The 21654-nt window shown below is 50.7% G+C and overlaps 1 protein-coding gene across 3 annotated transcripts in view, besides 4 other annotated features; it reads right to left on the bottom strand.

Annotated features, from left to right (window-relative positions):
- Window positions 1–20978, bottom strand: part of PACSIN1 (protein kinase C and casein kinase substrate in neurons 1) — a 69148-nt gene extending 48170 nt beyond the window's left edge. The window contains exon 1 of one of the 3 annotated variants that reach the window (NM_020804.5): window positions 20784–20978. The gene's annotated coding sequence lies outside the window, so the exon portion shown is untranslated. Of the gene's footprint in view, window positions 1–1880; window positions 2042–20783 lie in introns of those variants that run through there. The other 2 variants (XM_011514541.2, XM_047418689.1) reach the window with 2 other exon arrangements.
- Window positions 1866–1925: an enhancer, noted in NCBI's record as "active region_24383". NCBI's record gives its function as "activates an Ori minimal core promoter by ATAC-STARR-seq in GM12878 lymphoblastoid cells {active_cell/tissue: GM12878}" and the evidence as "EXISTENCE:reporter gene assay evidence [ECO:0000049][PMID:35858748]".
- Window positions 13339–14097: an enhancer, noted in NCBI's record as "H3K4me1 hESC enhancer chr6:34440734-34441492 (GRCh37/hg19 assembly coordinates)". NCBI's record gives its function as "activates a minimal SCP1, AML or CMV promoter by ChIP-STARR-seq in naive H9 embryonic stem cells {active_cell/tissue: H9 hESC(naive)}" and the evidence as "EXISTENCE:reporter gene assay evidence [ECO:0000049][PMID:30033119]".
- Window positions 18741–18790: an enhancer, noted in NCBI's record as "active region_24382". NCBI's record gives its function as "activates an Ori minimal core promoter by ATAC-STARR-seq in GM12878 lymphoblastoid cells {active_cell/tissue: GM12878}" and the evidence as "EXISTENCE:reporter gene assay evidence [ECO:0000049][PMID:35858748]".
- Window positions 21064–21113: a silencer, noted in NCBI's record as "silent region_17078". NCBI's record gives its function as "represses an Ori minimal core promoter by ATAC-STARR-seq in GM12878 lymphoblastoid cells {active_cell/tissue: GM12878}" and the evidence as "EXISTENCE:reporter gene assay evidence [ECO:0000049][PMID:35858748]".

The following is a 21654-nucleotide window of genomic DNA, read 5'->3' as shown; positions in this document are numbered from 1 at the left end:
GGATTACAGGCATGCACGACCACGGCCACCTAATTTTTTTTTTTTTTTTGGTAGAGATGGGGTTTCGCCATGTTGCCCACGCTGGTCTCAAACTCCTGAGTTCAAGTAAGTTGGCTGCCTCAGCCTCCCAAAGTGCTGGGATTATAGGCGTGAGCCACCACACCCAACTATATCTCAATTTAAAACAGGCCCCAGCCCAGTTAAATCAGAAAATTCTAATGTGCAGCCAGGGTCCAGAAGACCCTAGGCTGGGGTCTACTGAAGTGGGGAAGAGGCACTGTCCCAACTCGCAGAGCAACTGAACCAAGGCTCCAAGGCAGGAGGAAAGAGAGGGGCCCACGGAGGAGGGCCCCGGAAGGCAGCCCTGCAGGGGTGACAGGAGTAGGGGTGGGAACAGAGTGGCCCAGGTGTGTTGTGCCCATAGAGCTTAGGGGAGGGAGGAAGAGGACCAGCGATGGCAACGTCACCTTTTTGCTGTCTGGCCTTGGGACATCACTTTCCCTGTCTGGACCCCAGTGTCCTCCCTGCTAGTGCAGCACTGGACTGAAATGGGAAGCGGGAGGGGCAGGATGTAGTTGAATCCCAGTTCCATACCCCGTGGCCTCCAGGCCCCGTTCAAACCTCAGTCCTGCCCTAGCTGGCAACTTACCTGGCCCCCTTCCTGTTTTCTCATCTTCAAAGCGGGGATGATGGCACCTACTTCACCCCATGGCTGTGAGAACCACATTGGAGACAAATATTTTACAACACCTCCTCCTCCCTCCCTCTCAGCTGACAGCTGTGCTCTGAGAAAAAGGGAGGCACCTAGAGACACTGTGGCCCCAAACCCACCTCACCCCACCCCTAGGCCCTGCCTCCCTCTCCCTGGGTTCCCAGGCCCCCTGTCCCTCCACCCCTCACCCCCTAGTCTGGGCACTCCTGCTGCAGGGCTGGGATGTGCTCTCCCCTCTCCTGAATGATCGGTTTTCCCTCACATGAGAATCTTTCCCACCCAGAGAGAATCATGCTGTTGTTTCTCTCATTTAAGAGAAAGTCAAAAGGGCCCCCTAGACCACCCAGTGCCGCCCACGTTGCGGGCCCATGTGTCTCCTCCCTCTGGTGGCAGAGGACACTCCTGGAAAGGCCTGTCCATCCTCCCCATCTCCACTCCCTCCGAAGCCTTTCCAGTTGGCCTCTGGCCCTCCCCAGCCACTGCTGACCCCCATGGCCAGTCTCCAATCCTCCTCCTTGGCAGCATGCTGTCCGCCTCTGGGCTCCTCAGACACCACACTCCCACTCTGTGTCACAACTCCTTCTCCCTGGGTGGGCCCTCACAGGGCCAGGGCTCAGGTCTGGGACCTCTTCTCTTCTCCACTCAACGTCTACTCCCTCTGGGATCTCATCGGGGCCGTGGCCTTAGAGTCCCCTGAACTCCAGCCTCACAAATCTACCCACCTCCTCAACGGCCCCACCTGGATATGGGACAGGCCACATGTCCCCAGATGACTGCCCCCTAGCCTGCTCCAACGCTGGCCTTTGCCATCTCAGGACACAACACCACTGTTCACCCAAGAACTCAGGAATCTCCCTCACCCCACACCCCGCTGACTCTCCCTTCAAAATATACCCAGAATCCAGCCACCTCTCACCTGTCGGCCACAGATGCCAGGGTCTGCCCCAGCCCCCTGTCCCACTCGGAGGGCTACGTGGCCTCCTAATGAGCCCTCCTGCTTCCACCCTCACCCCCTACTGTCTATCTGCCAGACGGCAGCTGCAGTCATCTTTTTAAAACATAAATAATGTCACTAAAGTTGATACACAACCCCCCACTGCTCAATTTGACTGGCTTTTTTTAAAATTGAAAAATAAAAACATAAATATAATTTTGACACATCACACACCTGCTGAAACCCTCCAGCGAGTGACTCACCAATCTGAGAACAGGATCGCTGTGCCTTTGGGCCCCAACCTGTTGACTCATCCTCACCTCCAACCACTCCCCACGCCTCACTCCACTCCAGACCCCCTGTGCTTCCTCTTCCCTGAGTCGGGGCTAGCACCTGCGGCTTCCTGTCCCAAGATGCTCCTCCCTTGACATCTGCAGGGCGCATTTCCTTTGCTTTAAGTCTCTGATTCATGATCCTGACCCCCACTTTCGCCCCATCCAGAACAGCCAGCCCATGCCCCTCACCCCTTACTTAAACCCTCACCCCTGCTTTATTTTTCCTTTGTAACACTTATCACTTCCTAATATATATGTGTGTATGTGGATATATATATATTTTTTAATTAATAGATTTTATTTTTTAGAGCAGTTTTAGGCTCCTAGAAAAATTGACCAGAAAATACAGAGAGTTCCCATACACCCTCTCCCACCCACATAGTAGCCACCCTTATTGTCCATACCGTGCATCTCTGTGGTACATTTGTTAGCACTGATGAACCTACACTGACACATCATTATCACCCAGAGTCCATAGTTTACATTAGGGTTCACTCTTGGTGGTGTATATTCTATAGGTTTTGACTCATGTTGATGACATGTATCTACCATCATAGTATCATACAGAAAAGTTGCCTGCCCTAAAAATCCTCTGTGCTTTCTACCTGTTTACCTCTCCCTGCCCCACCCCAATCTCTGATAACTACTGATCTTTTTACCATCTCCACAGTTTTTCCTTTTCCAGAATGTTATCTAGTTGGAATCATACAGTGTGAGGCCTTTTCATATTGGCTTCTTTCACTTAGTAAAATGCATTTAAGGTTCCTCCTTGCCTTTTCATGGCTTGATAGCTCATTTATTTTGAACACTGAATAATATTCCATTGCCAGGATGTGCCACAGTTTATATAACCATTTGCCTATTGAAGGACATCTTGATTGCTTCTAAATGTTGGCAATGAAATGTCTTGACATTCACAGGACACAGCAGCATGTTAAAGGCCCTGATGAGGCCTACCCTAAAGAGCACCCTTTACCTGGGTTGAACCCAAAAGTAAATTTCCCAAATTTGACCATGGACAATCTGTCCAGGTGCCACCTCCCACCTCCTGGGTGCCACAGGAGCTCATACTAGGAGGACAAGTCCCCTCTCTCAGCTGGGGCAGCCCATAAAGTCCTTGAAGGGGCTGAGCGCGGTGGCTAACACCTGTAATCCCAACACTTTGGGAGGCCGAGGCAGGTGGATCACCTGAGGTTGGGAGTTCGAGACCAGCCTGGCCAACATGGAGAAACCCTGTCTCTACTAAAAATACAAAATTAGCCGGGCATGGTGGCACATGCCTGTAATCAATCCCAGCTACTCGGGAGGTTGAGGCAGGAGAATCATGTGAACCCGGGAGGCGGAGGTTGCAGTGAGCCAAGATTGCACCATTGCACTCCAGCCTGGGCAACAAGAGTGAAGCTCTGTCTCAAAAAAAAAAAAAAAAAAAAAAAAAAAGTCCTTGAAGGAGAGAGACTGTGGCTAAGAGCCACAGAGCCAGGCGCCAGAAACCACGTAAAGGGAGCGGTGGAGTTTGGAGGTTTGGAGCTCATGTGCCCAGCTGGGGTGAGGACCCCTAGAGGAGCAGTAGGAACTGAACTGGGACCCAACTCTGGTGCCCACCGGCTACGTGGCCCTGCGCAAGCCACTCCCCTCCTCTGTCCCACAGCATTACAGTAAGATGAAGGGACTGGGCAAGGTTGGTCCTACATCCCAAGGTCCTTTGTCCAGAGCTTCAGAGACTATTGGATGGGACCTTAGGTTGACTTCTAGAATTCAAAAAGTCTGGGCCGGGCGTGGTGGCTCACGCCTGTAATCCCAGCACTTTGGGAGACCAAGGTGGGCAGATCACTTGAGCCCAGGAGTTCAAGATCAGCCTAGATAACATGGCAAAACTCCGTATCTACTAAAAATACAAAACATTAGCCAGGCGTGGTTGCTCACGCCTGTAGTCCCAGCTACTTGGGAGGCTGAGGTGGGAGGATCACTTGAGCCCAGGAAGTCGAGGCTGCAGTGAGCCATGATCGTGCCACTGCACTCCAGCCTGGGCACCAAGAGTGAGACCTTGTTTCAAAAAAAAAAAAAAAAAAAAGTTAAACATGGAGTTGGCTGGGCGCAGTGGCTAACATCTGTAATCCCAGCACTTTGGGAAGCCAAAGTGGGCAGACCACCTGAGGTCAGGAGTTCAAGACCAGCCTGGCCAACATGGTGAAACCCCGTCTCTACTAAAAAAAATACAAAAATTAGCTGGGTGTGGCGGCAGGCGCCTGTAATCCCAGCTACTCAGGAGGCTGAGGTAGGGAGAATTTATTGAACCCGGGAGGTGGGGAAGGTTGCAGTGAGCCGATATCATGCCATTGCTTTCCAGCCTGGGCAACAGAGTGAGACTCTGTCTCAAAAAAAAAAAAACAAAAACAAAAACATAGAGTTACCATATGACCCAGCAATTCTACTCCTAGGTATATATCCAAGAGAAATGAAAACATATGTTCACACAAAAACATGCATATAAATGTTCTTAGAAGTATTATTCATAAAAACCCAAAAAAGTGGAAACAACTCAAATGTCCATCAATGGATGAGTGGATAAACAAAATGTAGTATATTCATGCAATGGAATATGATTCAGCCATAAAAAGGAATGCACTAGTTACTTGCTACAAAGGGGGATGAACCTTAAAAACATTATACTAAGTGAAAGAAGCCAAGGCTGGGCGCAGTGGCTCACACCTGTAATCCCAGCACTTTGGGAGGCCGAGGCAGGCAGATCAGCTGAGGTCAGGGGTTCAAGACTAGCCTGCCCAACATGGTGAAACCCCATCTCTACTAAAAACACAAAATTAGCTGGGCATGGTGGCTGGCGCCTATAATCCCAGCTACTCAGGAGGCTGAGGCAGGAGAATCGCTTGAATCCAAGAGGCAGAGATTGCGGTGAGCCGAGGTCACGCCATTGCACTCCAGCCTGGGCAACAAGAGTGAAACTCCATCTCAAAACAAAAAACAAAAAACAAAAAACAAAAAAACAAAAAAAGAAGCCAGTCACAAAAGGCTTATATGATTCAATTTATATGAATCTTCCAGAATAAGCAAATTTATAGAGACAGAAGGTTGTTTGGTGATTTCCAGAGCTGAGGGAGGGGGAATTGGGAAGTAGCTGTTAATGGATATGGAGTTTCTTTTTGGAGTTATGGAATATTCTGGAATTAGATAGCGGTTACCCAACTTTGTAAATATACTAAAAGCCACTGACATGTACATTTGAAAAGAGTAAATATTATGGTATATGAATCGTATTTCAATAAAAAATGTGTTTATATAAAAGATCCACAGCTCCTTGGAGAGCTGGCTGAGTCCAGCTCTGAGGAACGTAGAACATCTTCACACCAGAAAGCAAGGGTATTTTCTTTTTTCTTTTTTTTTTTTTTAGATGGAGTCTTGCTCTGTCGCCCAGGCTGGAGTGCAGTGGCACGATCTCGGCTCACTGCAAGCTCCACCTCCCGGGTTCACACCATTCTCTTGCCTCAGCCTCCCTGGTAGCTGGGACTACAGGCGCTCGCCACCACGCCTGGCTAATTTTTTTGTATTTTTAGTAGAGATGGGTTTCATTGTTGTCTCAATCTCCTGACCTCGTGATCCTCCCGCCTCGGCCTCCCTAAGTGCTGGGATTACAGGCGTGAGCCACCGCACCCGGCCAAGCAAGGGCATTTTCAAAAACCCGTGTGAACGTATGAAAAAGATGTCAGAAGCCAGGCGCGGTGGCTTGCACATGTAATCCCAGCACTTTGGGAAGCCAAGGAGGCTGGATCACTTGAGATCAGGAGTTTGAGACCAGCCTGGCCAACATTGTGAAATCCCATCTAAAGATACTAAAGAAACAAAAATTAGCCAGGCATGGTGATGCATGCCTGTAGTCCCAGCTCTCGGGGGGCTGAGGCAGAAGAATCACTTGAACCCAGGGAGGTGGAGGTTGCAGTGAGCCGTGATCACACCACTGCACTCCAGCCTGGGCAACAGAGTGAGACCTTGTCTAAAAAAAGAAGAGTCCACTTGAAGAAGTTCCCACTGGCCAAAGATGAGACAATTTGAGCATTACTGAGAATAATGACTGCAAGTGCTAAAACACATCAAATTTATAAAAATCCATAATGATAATGAAAACTAAATTCTAAAAAAAAAAAAAGAAAAAAAGTCTGCTAGTAACCACATACCTGCAAGAATGTGGACCACTGGGATTCTGCACACACTGCTTTGTGCAGGTATGATTTGGTACAAGCACTCTGGAGAACAGTTTCACATTATCTATAAGATTGAAGATCACATACCCTATGACCTAGTGATTCCATTCCTTTGCATAAACCCTGGAGAACTGCATGCATATGTTTACCTGGGGATATATATAGAGCAGAAACTTTTTTTAAAGTACTTTTTATCTTATCCCTTCATGGAAGCCAGCAGAACTTTTCACAGTAGACACAAATCAGAAAAAAACCCTGATGTCTGTAAACAGACTGGACAAGTATATCATGGTTTATTTACATATTAGAAACTATTATATATGATGAAAAATGAGTCAGGTACAGTGGCTCATGCCTGTAATCCCAGCACTTTGGGAGGCCGAGGTGGGCAGATTGCTTGAGCCCGGGAGTTCAAGACCAGCCTGGGCAAAATAGGGAGCGCCCCATCTCTACAAAAAATTTAAAAATTAGCTGGGTGTGGTGGTGCACACCTGTGGTCCCAGCCACTCGAGAGGCTGAGGTGGGAGGATCATTTGAGCCTGGGAGGCAGAGGTTACACTGAGCCGTGATGGTACTACTGCACTCCAGCCTGGGTGACAGAGTGAGATCCTTTCTCAAAAAAAAAAAAAAAGAAAGAAAGAAGGAAAAGAAAATGAAAGGACTGATGCTACAAATAACAACCTGGATCCTGGTAAAAAGAAAATGTTAATTTAAAAAGAGAACAAACTTTAGTTGCCAGGAGTGGTGGCTCATGCCTGTAATCCCAGCACTTTGGGAGGCCGAGGTGGGTGGATCACCTGAGGTCAGGAGTTCGAGACCAGCCTGGCCAACACGGTGAAACCCCGTCTCCATTAAAAATACAAAAATTAGCTGGGTGTGGTGGCATATGCCTGTGGTCCCAGCTACTATGGAGGCTGAGGCAGGAAAATCACTTGAGCCCAGGAGGCGGAGGTTGCAGTGAGCTGAGATTGCACCACTGCACTCCAGCCTGGGTGACAGAGCAAGACTCTGTCTCAAAAAGTAATAATAATAATAAAATTAAAAATAAAATAAAAAACAACAGACTTTAATGAATACATAATTCATTACTTAAAATTCAAAAAAACCAAGTGTGGTGGCTCCTGCCTGTAATCCCAGCACTTTGAAAGGCTGAAGCAGGAGGATCACTTGAGCCCAGGAGTTCAAGTCCAGCCCGGGCAACAGAGGGAATCCCCATCTCTCTAAAAAATAAAATAAAATAAAAATAAATTTAAAAGATAGCTGGGCATGGTGGTGCACTCCTGTGGTCCCAGCTTCTCAGAAGGCTGAGGTGGGAGGATTGCTTGAGCCCAGGAGATTGAGCCTAAATGGGCCAAGATCGTGCCATTGCACTCCAGCCTGAGCAAGACCCTGTCTCAAAAAAGAAAGAAAGAAAGAAAAATCAGAAAATTCAAAAAGAAACAGAACTCTTTGGTTTTGGATGCATATTTACATGGTAAAACCAAAAACAAAGCAGTGAATAACCCTAACTGTTTAGAATGGTGGGTTCCAGTGGGGGAGGGAGGGGCTTGTGATGGGGAAAGGTCTGAGGGGGTCCTTTGGTGCTGTGGCAATGTTTTGATTTTTTTTTACCTACATGATGGAGACATTGGCTTTATATTAAATTTGTTAAAATGTTGCTATGGTTTGAGTGTGTCCCCTCCAAAACACATGTTGAAATCTGATTCCCAATGTGGCTGTGTTGGGAGGTAGGGCCTAGTGAGAGGTGTTTGGATTATGGGGCACTGCCCTCATGACTAGGTTAATGCCACCTTGCTGGAGTGCTGTGGGAATGGATTAGTTCCCATGAGAGCAGGCTGTTATAAAGTGAGCCCAGCCTCTCGTCTGTCTCTTTTGCACTTGCCCACTTGTTGCTCTGGCACCTCCTCTTGCCGTATTAGAATGCAGCCAGGTGGTCCTCACCAGAAGACAAGCAGACCCGGCGCCATGCTGCTTGGACTTCTCAGCCTCCAGAATTGTGAGCCAAATAAGCTCCTTGTCCTTTTAATTTACCTGGGCTCAGGTATTCTGTTATACAACACAAAAAAGACTAAGACAAATGTACAACCTATTTTATATATGTTTATATTTTTAAAAAGGAAAAAATATTCACTGGTCACCATTGGAGGTTGCTACAGCACCAACTCATTTCTTTAAAAATGGATAAATAGGCTGAGTGTGGTGGCTCATGCCTGTAATCCCAGCACTTCGGGAGGCCGAGGCAGGAGGATCACAAGGTCAGGAGTTCGAGACCAGCCTGACCAACATAGTGAAACCCCATCTTTACTAAAAATACAAAAATTAGCCAGGTGTGGTGACGCATGCCTGCAATCCCAGCTACTCAGGAGCCTGAGGCAGGAGAATCACTTGAACCCAGGAGTCGGAGGTTGAAGTGAGCCGAGATCGTGCCACTGCACTCCAGCCTGGGTGACAGAGCGAGACTCCATCTCAAAAAAAAAAAAAAAAAAAAAGAAGATAAATAGGCTCGGCGTGGTGGCTCATGCCTGTAATCCCAGCACTTTGGGAGGCCGAGGAGGGTGGATCACTAGGTCAAGAGTTCAAGACCACCCTGGCCAACATAATGAAACCCCATCTCTACTAAAAATACAAAAAATTAGCTGGGCACTGTGGGATGCGCCTGTAGTCCCAGCTACTCAGGAGGCTGAGGCAGGAGAATCGCTGGAACCCGGGAGCCGGAGGTTGCAGTAAGCCGAGATCGCGCCACTGTGCTCCAGCCTGGGCGTCAGAGCGAGACTTTGTCTCAAAAAAAAAAAAAAAAGGATAAAGGGGCTGGGCATGGTGGCTCATGCCTGTAATCCCAGCACTTTGGGAGGCTGAGGCGGGAGGATTGCTTGAGCCCAGGAGTTGAAGACCAGCCCGGGCAACATGGGAAGACCCTGTCTCTACAAAAAAAAAAAAAAAAAGATGGCCAGGCTTGGTGGCACACAGCTGTAGTCCCAGCTACTGGGGAGGCTGAGTTGTGAGGATAGCTCAAGCCCAGGAGGTTGAGGTTGCAGTAAGCCAAGATCATGCCACTGCACTCCAGCCTGGGCAACAGAGTGAGACCCTGTCTCAAAAAGCAAACAAACAAACAAAGGATAAAGTGAAGGAATGGAGCCTTTATCCTCCAGTATGCACCATGTTTCAGAATAACAAAATAGGTGAAGAGGAATAGTTCTTTGTAGAAGTCTAGCTCATAAATGCAAACAAAATGATCAAATTAGAAAAAGAAATAACCATCTGGAGAAGAGAAAATATGATGGAAATTGGACTTGAGCTTGCAGTAAAGATGAGATGGCCAGAGCCCTCAGGGGCCCTCATCTTTCTGTGCCCCTGGTCCCCCAGCTGTTGCAGGGAATGCCTGTTCCCTGCAGACCACAGCACCTCAACAGGCCACACCCACAGTGAGATGGACATGATTTTCTTTCTTTCTTTCTTCTTTTTTTCTTGATTTCTTTCTTTCTCTCTTTCTCTTTCTTTCTTTCTTCTTTTTCTTTTTTCTTTTTTTTTTAAATAGAGACAGCATCTCCCTATGTTGCCCAGGTTGGTCTTGAACTCCTGGACTCAAGCAATCCTCCCGCTTTGGCCTCCCAAAGTGCTGGGATTACAGGCATGAGCAACCATGCCCGGCCTGGACATGCTTATTTGCATATGTTTTGCAAACAAAATTCACACAAAGATTCCTGAAGTTCTGCCAACAGAGGCACAGTCCCTCAGTGCAGCCCCTGGAGGAAGCCCTCAGGGCTGAGGTTTGGAACAGAGTGCTGGCCTCCTCTGCCACAGCCCAAATGAGCAATGGTCAGAGAGGCCTGAGGGCCAGGGAACGAGGGGGTCCTAGGGAGAGAAGGGAAATCCCGAGCTGACACAGGCCTGGAGTGCCCACCCCCGAGCTACTGCCTCATAGATGCCCATTACCAAGGCAGTCCTGGGGGGTGCCCTCTCCACCCTTACATTCCTCAGGTGGCAATTTTGTGATTTGGTTGCTCCCTGTCAGGATTGTCTTGGCCCTGTTTGGCAGGAAAGTAGGAAGTCCCCTGTGATTTGCCACCCGCCCCCGGCCCTGTCCAGGGGCCCCCAAGCCAAGCCAAGCCAGCTTTGCAGCTTACCAGGCCAGCTGGTGCAAGGGGGAGGGGCCACCAACACCCAGGCCATGCTGGGGCTGGCAGAAAGGCCCACCCAGCTGTCAGGGCCAATGACAAGGGGCTGGCAAGGCGGCAGAGGCAGGGATCCTGAGCCCTGTAGTGTAGGGGAAGCCTCCTATCAGAGGTGCCCCATCTGGGGCAGGGCCAAGTGGGGCAGGTGAGATGGCGGCCAGTCATCCAACACCTGGGGAGCAGGCAGCAGTGGCAGCCCAGTGTCCGATGGAGCTGATGATAGAGGTGACACCAGATATCCTGCTGGTGGAGGGGGGAGGGAGTGTGGGGAGGGCTGGGGAAGGGGCTGCAGGAAGCAGGAGAGCCAAATTCAGCCCCATGCTTTCGAATCCCAGCTCTATCACACGCTTGGCGAGAGACATCGGCTGGGAGCTGCAAGTCCCTCTGTAGCCTCAGCTTACCCATCTGAAGATGGGGTGCTGTGAAGGTGAAGGGGAGCCTGGCACAGTGCTAGCACATAGTTCATGCTCAACAGACATCGTGTTGTCATTATGGAAGCTGGGACTCATGAGGGCTCAGTAGGGGTAACCACGGTGGTGGCGGCTAAATACTGGGCAGATCCACTGACTGGCAACTCCAGGGACAAGGACAAAGTGTGTGTCATTCACTGCTGAATGGCCTGGTGCCTAGTTCAGCACACAGCACACCACACGCAATACATATTCATTTAACATTCAAAAGGATGAATGCTTGAGAGTAAAACTACAAACCAGCAGCCACTAAGACGATTTGTCCGCTAATCAGAGGATCCTGAGTAAGAATTTGAGCTTAAATCTAACCCCTTCCTGGCTGTGCAACCTCAAGCAAGTCATTTCAGCCCTAAGAACCTCAGCTTCCTCCTCTAGGAAATGGGAATAATTATCATTAATAAATACCATCCCCACAGGCTTGTGGCAAGGCTCAAAGCAGAAATGGATATGGAAGTAGAGGGGGTACTGCCAGTGTCCTTCTATCAGGTGGGGTACCCATCTCTCAGCAGCTGTGGGTGCTGGCTGCTAGCAGCTCACAGCTGCCCCCTTCCCCTGAGAGCTGCCCTTGGCTTACAGGAGCTGCCTCATCTGGAGATGCAGGGGGAGGCTAGGCCCTTCCCCGGGAGCAGCTTGCAGACAATGACCACCAGCTAAGGGGCTACAAAGGCCTGGCCCCTTGTCTGGAGGAAGGTAACCCTGGGAGACTGGCTGTTCATAATCTAGAGCTCTCCGTGGGATCCTAGCTGTAAGCAAATCTTTTCCCGCTCTAATATGAGCATGCCTGCAATAAATCATTTGCCCGGGAATCCTTGTCTCAGCTCTGCTTCTAGAAGACCAGACTTGAGACAGGAAGTATTTTGTAAACAATGACACACTAGGCACAAATATGTGTTTTTTTAATTTTTTTTTTAATTTTAGGAAACATTGAAAGTAGAGGAGCTAGCAATGTGAGAGGAGGAGGCGGTCAGCTCTGTGGGCAGGGGTGAGGGGTAGGGGAAGCCCAGTCATGCTGCTCTGCCCCCACCCAAACCCTGCCTTCATGGAATGCTTGGGCAGGTAAGGGGGACAGACAAGAAACCAACAAGAGCATAATGTCAGGGATAAGTGCTATGAAGATGATAAAGTAGAATCAGGAGATGGGGGACAACGAGGGCTGTTTTTGATAAGGTGGTCTGGGAGGCCTCTCTGAGGGGGTGATGTGGGTGGAGATGTGAACATCATGAGCCATGTAGGCCTTTGGGGAAGAGAATTCCAGGCATAGGGAATAGGAGTGCAAAGGCCCTGGGGCAGGGTGTTTGATGGGTCCAAGAAATGACCTGGGGATCAGTGAGGCTAGGATGTATGAGAGAAGGTCTGAGGTATTGGGCAGCCGGATCACATGGGGTCTTGCAGGCAATTATAGGGCTTTTTTTTTTTTTTTTTTTTTCTGAGACAGAGTCTTGCTCTGTCACCCAGGCTGGATGCAGTGGTATGATCTCAGCTCACTGCAACCTCTGCCTCCCAGGTTTGAGGGATTCTCCTGCCTCAGGCTCCTGAGTAGCTGGGACTACAGGTGTGTGCCATCACACCTGGCTAATTTTTGTAATTTTAGTACAGATGGGGTTTCACCATGTTGGCCAGGCTGGTCTGAAACCCCTGACCTCAGGTGATCCACCTGCCTCGGCCTCCCAAAGTGCTGGGATTACAGGTGTGAGCCACTGCATCTAGCCTGTTATAGGATTCTGGGCTTTATTCTGAATGGGAGGGGAGTCATTGAAGAGCTTTAGCAGAGGAAGGATGTGATCTGATTTAAGTTTTAAAGGACCTTTGGCTGGTGAGGCAAGGACGGGGCAGGAAGACCAGGTAGAGGCTGCTGCAAAGATCTAGGAGAGGATAGTGGAGGCTCAGAAGGGAAGGCAGCAATGGAGGTGACAAGAAGTGGGTGGATTCTGGGTGTTTTGAATGTAGAATTGAAGGACTTGTTGATGACTAAATGAGGTGTCAGGGACAGACAAATGCAACTCCCAATTTACAGAGAGGACAGAAGAACATACTAAATAACACCACAGGGATGCAATCAACAAAATCCAGTCTGCAGGAAACACAGCAGGACAAACCACCTGCTTCCTCCCATAGATAAACTGCAAAAGAATAAGAAAAGATGGAGAGGAGAACTGTGGATTGAAAGAGACTAAGACATATCAACCAATCATAACGTGTGAACTTTACCTGGAACTTGATTTAAACAATTTAAAAAACAAAAAGACATGTCTGAGACAACAGGGAATGTGAATACTAAGTGAATATTTGACTATATAAAGGAATTAATACTTCTTAGGTATAATAATGGTATTGTGATTGTGTTAGAAAAAGTCCTTATCTTTTAGAGAAATATCTTGATTGAGATGAGATTGGACATGTGTTGGTATCTGTTGATGCTAAGCCATGAGTATATGACTGTTATATAACATTTTCTCTACTTCTGTAAATGCTTATAATATTTCACAATAAAAAGTTTGCAAATAAAAGACAGAAGAGGAAACAGAATCCAAGGGAGGGGGTTGAGTGGCCCTAGGCCCCTCAGTGAGTCAGTGTCAGGGCCAGGACCTCAGCCTGGACCCCCAACCCCCAGCCCTCCAGCCCTGCCTCGGCTGCCCCTCTTGTCCTCAGTGGCTGGTCAAGGCTAGACCCCGGGAACCCAGTGATGAAATGTGTGACCTCAGGGAAGGCCCAGATTAGGCAGAGTGGGGCTAAGGGATGCAGGGTCTTTGCCAGGCCCTGCAAGGAGAAGCAGCCCTGGGCCACCTGTCCCACAAGGTCCAATGAGGCTGATCATTTAAAGTGCCCTGCAGCAGCAATCCAAGCTGGCTGCCCCACCAGCCTCACGACCCATGTCCTCTCTCGTGTTCCTATGCTGATTTCCTCCCCAGCCCCTGAGACCACCACTCACATTCCAGCCTTTGCATCTTTGTCCCTGCTGTCACTCTGCCTGGAATGTACCCCCCCGCCCCCCGCCCCGTCTCTGGATCTGACCAGCCTTTCCTTCCAGGTCTGCCTTCTGCAGAAGACAACCCTCCTTCAGTCTTCCAGAACACACCTGCCTCCAGTCTCTGAGACAAGAGATTATCCCCATTCCTCGACGACAGGTGCTGAGGCAGAGAGGCTCACAAGCACAGCTTCTGGAGCCAGACTGCATGGCTGTGAATCTGGCTCAGCCACTTACTGTGTGACCTCAGGCAAGTCACTTAACTTCAGTTGCCCCATCTGTAAAATGGGGATAACCCCATGAGCTTACTAAGAGGACTAAATGAGTTATAAATATGGATAAACAAAAGAGCGCCTGGCACATGTCAGGGATCCCCGGCCCCTCCTTTGTGCCCCTACAAGACTCCCCAGTGCTACACAACCACCACTTTGCCAGATACCCCACTTCTGCCATACTCCTTCTACAGCCCTCCTGATACCCAGATGTTACCTTACCTTACCCCCTTTCCCATCCCGCCAGGTTTCAGGCACCACAGGCCTGGGAGGAGGGAGAGGGAATATAAGCCCATGAGGGGACCAGTTAGGAACCAACCACAGATAAAAACTCTCCAAACACACGTGGCAGCATGTGACTCACATGCCATCAGATTAAGGGGAATGGAGTTTACGTGCTCATTTTTTTAGGTTTCTAAGAAAAAAATTCCCAGTATCATCAAGTGCAGTTTTAATTGTTTTCTTCATGAGTAATGATATTTGTTTATAAAATGCAAACAGCACAGAATGGCTGAAATAAAGAGGACGCATTCTCCCTCCAGATCCCTGCGATAGGCCTCAGCCCAGAGGCAAGCTCTAATCACAATCAGGTATGCAGCCTTCTACACATTGTTATGTAAATATGAACAGAGAAGAACATATGTACATGTACTTTAAAAATTGTATCATACTACACACATTGTTCTTTTTTTTTTTTTTTTTTTTTTTGAGACAGAGTCTGGCTCTGTCTCCCAGGCTGGAGTGCAGTGGCCCGATCTCGGCTCACTTCAACCTCCGCCTCCTGGGCTCAAGCGATTCTCCTGCCTCAGCCTCCTGAGTAGCTGGGACTACAGGCGTCCTTCACCACACCCAGGTAATTTTTGTATTTTTAGTAGAGACAGGGGTTTCACCATATTGGCCAGGTTGGTCTCGAACTCCTGACCTTGACTACACACATTGTTCTACAAAGCCACTTGCTTTAACTTATCAGTACGTGATGACCATCTTTCCACACTGGTAATAAGCTCCGCCCCATCTTGTCTCAGTGTCCCCAAGCACCTAAAGTGGTGCCTGGCAGGCAGCGACATTCAGAGATCCATTGATTAAATCCCAGAACGAACAACTGCCCGAAATCACAGCGTACAAAGAGGTCTTGACTTTGTCACTGGTCCTCCTGACAGACATCTAGCTTTGCTACACTGACTGTCTCTGCCCAGCTAATCTTTGCACCCTGCTCAGAGTGTACCTGTGGAATAAGTCCCAAAAAGTGGAATTGCCAAGTCAAAACTGTGACCACTGTTGCCAAAAACACAGTGCTAACGTATGCTCCCCGACTGACGTGAGAGTTCTAGTTTCCCACGCCCTCCGCCAAATGAGAGCTTTCTTAGGAGGACTTTTATTTCTCAAATGGATTACCCCTATTTAGTGATTCCACCCTTGATCACCACATCTCCCTTTGTCCCACCTGCATAAATGAGAAAACTATTGTTTTATTATTTCTCAGCAGCACTAAGGAGCCAAAATCCACAAATAAGGGACTACTCTCTAGCCAGTATAGAAAGTTAACAGATGGGAAATTTGGAACATCTCACCTGTTTCTAAAAATGGATGTGTTAATGTTTTAAAACTGTCAACTTCAAACAAGTATCTATTGATTCTTCCCCCACACTCAAGAACAGAAAATTCTCACCCTCTCTCTCCACTCCTCCCTACCCCAGCCTACAGTGGCCACATTTAGTCAATAAAAATTCAGGGCCAGGCGCGGTGGCTCATGCCTGTAATCCCAGCACTTTGGGAGGCTGAGGCGGGCAGATCACTTGAGGTCAGGAGTTTGAGACCAGCCTGGCCAACATGGCGAAACCCCATCTCTACTAAAAATACAGAAAAATTAGCTGGGTGTGGTGGCCGGCACCTGTAATCTCAGCTACTCAGGAGGCTGAGGCAGGAGAATCACTTGAACCTGGGAGGCGGAGGTTGCAGTGAGCCTAGATCGCAGCCTTGCACTCAAGCCTGGGCGACAAGAGCAAAACTCCATCTCAAAAATAAATAAATAAAATAAAATAAAAATTCAGGACACCTAGTTAAATCTGAATTTCAGATAAATGACAAATACAGTTTTTTATTAAAAATATGTCCTATGCAATGTTTGGGACATACTTAGACTAAAAAACAACAAAAACACATTTGTTGTTTTTCTGAAATTTAAAATTACCTGAGTATGCTGCATTTTATATAGAAAGACTACCCTAGCCCCTACCCAGCATTTTAATATCAAGTTATTTTTAGCCTGGGCAACACAGTAAGACCCCATCTCTACAATAAAATTGAAAAATTAGCCAGGCATGGTAGCACTCAGCTACTCAGGAGGCTGAATGGGAGGATCCCTTGGGCCCGGGAGGTCGAGGCTGCAGTGAGCTATGATGGTGTCACTCACTCCAGCCTGGGTGACAGAGCAAGACCCTGCCTCTAAAAAGAAAATAATTATAACAATATCGAGTGATTTTAAAATAATAGCCAAGGTAGGCCAGGTGCGGTGGCTCACACCTGTAATCCCAGCACTTTGGGAGGCCGAGGCGGGTGGATCACGAGGTCAGGAGTTCAAGACCAGCCTGGCCAAGATAGTGAAACCCTGTCTTTACTAAAAATACAAAAATTAGCCGGGCGTGGTGGTGGGCGCCTGTAATCCCAGCTACTCAGGAGGCTGAGGCAGAGAATTGCTTGAACCCGGAGGTGGAGGTTGCAATGAGCCAAGATCGCGCCACTGCACTCCAGCCTGGGTAACAGAGTGAGACTCCGTCTCAAAAATAATAATAATAATAATAATAGCCAAGGCCTCCCCTGCCCTCCCAGTTTTCAGGTATCCTGCAGCCCCTCACACCCAAGGTTGAGGTCTTCAGAGACAGCACCCAGGGGAGGGTGGAGGGGAGCCCCCGACCCCAGTCTCCAGCCCAGCCCTCCCCTCCAGGCCACCCTGCCCCTGGCTGGAAACCAGCCACAAAGTGTCCCCAGCAGGTGGGTCTGAAGTGGCTAATAGGTTTTCTTCATTTGGCTTTCCAGTACATTCTAAATTGCTCCCCACAGACACGCTCCTTTTCTGGAAACGGCACCAGCAACTTCCCTGGCATTAGAGGTCCTGTCTCCCCAGAGCCAGCTGAGGCCAGGCTCCGGTTGATCTTGTCCCTTCAGCCCACCTCTGGGTTCCTCCCAACCCATCTTTCCTGGTGGTGAACACTACCTGTTGCCCCAGGGGGTGGGTGCTGTCAGCAGGCGACCTCAGTGGGCAGATGCTTCAGGGACTGCTGCTACCACAGAGCCACCTGCAGGAAGGCACACCCAAACCCTGTGCCTGATGGGCGCAGGATGCTGGGGTCTAGGGCCTGACTCTCACAGGCAAATGGACATGACCTGAAAGGCCACTCTAGCCCCAGGGCACCCTGTTGCCTGTTGGGCTGCATCAGAGTCCACTTCCCCTTCATCCAATCCCACTTCCTTCCCTGCTTTCCACAGTGAAGCTCCGGGACCCCTCCTCTACCTGCCTGCCAATCCTCACGGCTACTTCCTGGGACCCTGACCTGCCCGCCAAGTCCCCAGCCCAGACCTCCCCTCCGGTCCATCCTGCCCCTGGCTGGAAATCAGTTACGAAGTGCCCATGGTGGGTGGGTCTGATGTGGCTAATGGGCTTCCTTCATTCGGCTTTCTAGTACATTCTAAATTGCCCACAGCAAACCTATATTACTTTGGTAATAAGAAAAAATAATAAAAGCTATTTTTCTTTAAGAAAAATGTAAAACCAAACCAAGCAGCATCCTTCTTATCTGGTATACCCACTCGTCCCCCAACCCCTCCACCTGGTTCCCCAGGGAGGGCCCCCCAAATCAGTGAATGCCCCCACCCCTCATGTCCTCTCCTGTCCCTTCTGTCCTTCCAGACCTGTAGCCAGTTTCACTTCTCCAGGGAAGGCTTTCTACCACCAACTCATTCTTGCTGTGGGGATACGTGCAAACTTCTGAATGGGTCCCTCATCTCCTAATGGGAGACGAATGCAAAATATGTCCTGATATTGGTGAGGAGAGAAAGTAGATGATGGGACCAACAGTCACTCACTCCACAAGCCAGAGCTGGGTCTACTCTGTGCCAGGCCATGGGGCCACCGGAAACAGCACACAGACTCTGCCCCCACAGACCCCACAGCCCAGCAGGGAGAGGACACTGCATGATGGGAGGGTTCCCAGGGGAGGCAGCCAGGCTGTGGGGAGGGGATCATGGGTGGGGTTCCCAGCCCAAGCTGGGGAAGCTTCTGGAGGAAAAAGGAGTCTCAGTGGACTCCCGAGGGTGAGAGATTTGGGTGGGAAGGAAGAGGGAGAGGAGGAGACAGGAACAGCCTGTGCAAAGGCCTGCAGGTGACAGAAGCCCCACTTGCTTGAGGAACTGAAAGTAGCTCAGGGCAGCCAGGGGGCAGAGGGAGGGCAAGAAGGGAGAGTCAGCCTGGGTGTGGGAATGGTGGCAGAGCCACGTTAGGGAGACTGCATGGCTGTCAAATAGCAATGCGAGCCATTGTGGAATGAATGAATGATTGAATGACTGAATGTCAACTCTGGAAAATAGCTGGCAACCTGAGGGAGGGGGTTGAGTCCCTTCTTGGGCTTTCCCTCTATTCCCCAGGACCAAAGAGCCACCCAAACCAGACAGTTCTCTTTAGGCCCCTCCTAAGCCTGGAAATCTTGATGTCCTTCATAGACACAGGCCTGTGGCTAAGCCAGAACCCTTGTTGGCAGCCTCTTCCTCTGAAGTGGGTTTGCTCCTCCACACACTAGGGTCATGAGACCCCTGAGAGCTTGCTATGAAGACCTTAGAGGCTGAGGAAGGCCTGGCTTGGGCCTTCCCAGCTTCCCTGATGTTGACCTGGATTTTCCCAAGGGCTGGGACAGAGGCAGAGACTCTGGTCTAAAGTTGGCACCCCGGGAAGAAAGTGCCAACCCAGCGGCCTGAGGAGAGCCAGACCTTCACATCAGGCCTTCCCTCAAGCCAGGACCAGGCCTGGACACTCAAACCAGGGGCCCATAAGACCCTCTGGAGCCAGCAGGTTGCAACACTATCTCCAAAAGGCATAGCTGCCCATCAACTCCAGGCTTAGGAAGGGCCTAGCCGGGCATGATGGCTCAGGCCTGTAATCCTAGCACTTTGAGAGGCCAAGGTGGGCAGATCACCTGAGGTCAGGAGTTCGAGACCAGCCTGACCAACATGGAGAAACCCCGTCTCTACTAAAAATATAAAATTAGCCGGGTGTGGTGGTGCATGCCTGTAATTCCAGCTACTCAGGAGGCTGAGGCAGGAGAATCGCTTGAACCCGGGAGGCAGAGGTTGCGGTGAGCTGAGATCGTGCCATTGCACTCCAGCCTGGGCAACAAGAGCGAAACTCTCTCTCAAAAAAAAAAAAAAAAAAAAAAGGAAGGGCCTACTAAAGAGAACCACCTGGTTTGAGTGGAGTGGCTCTTTGGTCCTGGGGAATAGAGAGAAAGCCCAAGAAGGGGCTCGACCCCCTCCCTCAGGTTGCCAGCTATTTCCCAGAGTTTACATTCACTCATTCAATAAGTCATGCATTCCACAAGATATTTTCTTGGTGCCAAACCCTGCTTTGGTGCAGGGGCAATGACAGAGATGAATCAGATTCCCAGCCTGAAGGTACTTCTGGTCTAGAAGGAGATGAACAAGACAAATAACCCAGCCACAAGGCAGTCCAAGAACATAGGGCAGGGGGCAAGGATCTCACCTGGGGTATCAGGGAAGCTGCTGGAGGGTGATGATTTGGACTTGTGATAGAAAGGCCAGGATGGAGGATGGAAGCAAAATCACTGACAGACAGTCCTGTTTGCACCCCAGCTGTGCCAGGGGCTGGGGCAATGTGGGTTATTTATGGTTGTGCCTAGAAATAAGCGGCCATATGTGTCACTGCCTATGTGGTGCAGACCTGGGCTGTTGTGGGTAGGGGCAGCTGGGGCTTGAAGCTGGGTCTGGCCAAGCTCCCGGGTTTGCCACCATGTCTCCTACACCCTGATGACCCTTTAACCTTTTCATAGCCTCTTGTAAGGTGAAAATAAGGGGCAGAGGCAGCTCCAACAGGCAGCAAGTGGCCTGGGGCTTGCAGGGGAGGGCAGTGCCCAGCAGCCCATGGCTTCTGTATCTGCGGGGCCTTTTAGCATTATCGCCTCCTTCTTGCCTCCTCCCCCCTCCCCGCTCCCATCCCAGCTGTGGGGGAAGGGGTAGGGGACAGAAGGAAATACCTTTAACCATAAGCCAGACAGGCATCAGCTGCTGTGTTTCTCCCCAGCCCACTCTGATCCATAAATAGCCTATGCACCAAGCTGGCACCAGCCCACCCACCCCTTCTGGTAGCAGTCCAGAGACCCGGACCGCCCGGGCCCAGGCCCCAGCTTCCCAAGGAACCTATTTCCGGCGCTTTTCCTGGGGTAAGGGCCTCCGATGCCAGCTCGCTCCCCCAAGGGACCCAGCGCAGTGGCATCCTGGCACTGCCTGGGTGATGCCCGCGAACTCCGTCCCCTGAAGGCATCCCCGAACGCGCACCCGCTTCTCTCCAGGCAACTGCCCAACCCTGCCCGGGCTCTGGCCCAGGGAGATGTCAGTCCCGGCGCCCACTTCCAACACGCACTCCCTAACTGGACACCCGCACACACAACCCCCCCGCCCTCTATTCAAGGGCCAGACCTCCTACCTGGGGGCAGGAGCTCCGGGGACCATCGGCGGCGACTCGGGGCGAAGCGGGACGTCTGGGGCCCGGCCTCAAGCCCGGCCGACTTCCCGGGGGAGGAGGGGGCTGGCGCTGCCGCCGCCACCGCGTCGCTCTGGGATCTCGCCGGGGCTGCGGGAAGGAGGAAGGTCAGAGCTGAGGCGGAGAGGGGGGAAGGATGAGGAGGAGGCGTGCACCGAGCAGAGCAGATTAGAGAGGCATTTTTAGCGAGCCAATGGTAGCGCGGGCAGGGCGGCGCGGTGGCTGCGCAGGTGGACGCGCCGCGGCTGCCGGGGAGGCAGCAACCAGTTTGGCAGGCGCCGGGGGTGGCGGGTGGCGGGTGGCGGGTGGGGTCCGGCTCCCCGCTGCTTCAGCCGACCCCTGCCCCAGCAGTCTTGCCTGGCTCCCTCTTCTGGGGGCTGCCCGCGGCCCCGCGCGTGCCGGGAGCCCTCCGGTGCGCCCTCCTCCCCAGCCCTCCCAGCTGGCGCGCTCGGAGCCCGGGATGTTGCTCCCTGCCTCTCTCCCCATCTCCCCATCGCCTTGGCCTTTCCTCCTCTCCCGAGCCTCGGCGTCCCTTGGTGCGTGCGGGTGCCTGTGTGGTGGGTGTGTTGAAGACGTGCGTGTGAGCTGACTTGGGAGCGACACCCCCTGCACCACCGCCCCACTGATGCCCACCCCTGCCCGCAGCTTCTGCCCTGTGACCCCATGGGGCGGGATCGCTAACCCTCATGTCCTAGTTCCAGCAGGACCGGCTGTCGCCAAAGCAAACTCCAGGCCATGTCGTTGGAGCTCTCTAGGGGGCTTGGGGCCTAATAGGGGACCCTCAACGGCCTTCACTCTTCCGAACTTGAGCCCT

Source organism: Homo sapiens, chromosome 6 (genome assembly GCF_000001405.40).
Source record: "Homo sapiens chromosome 6, GRCh38.p14 Primary Assembly".
Lineage (NCBI taxonomy): Eukaryota > Metazoa > Chordata > Mammalia > Primates > Hominidae > Homo > Homo sapiens.
This window is presented reverse-complemented; position numbering and strand designations above follow the sequence as displayed.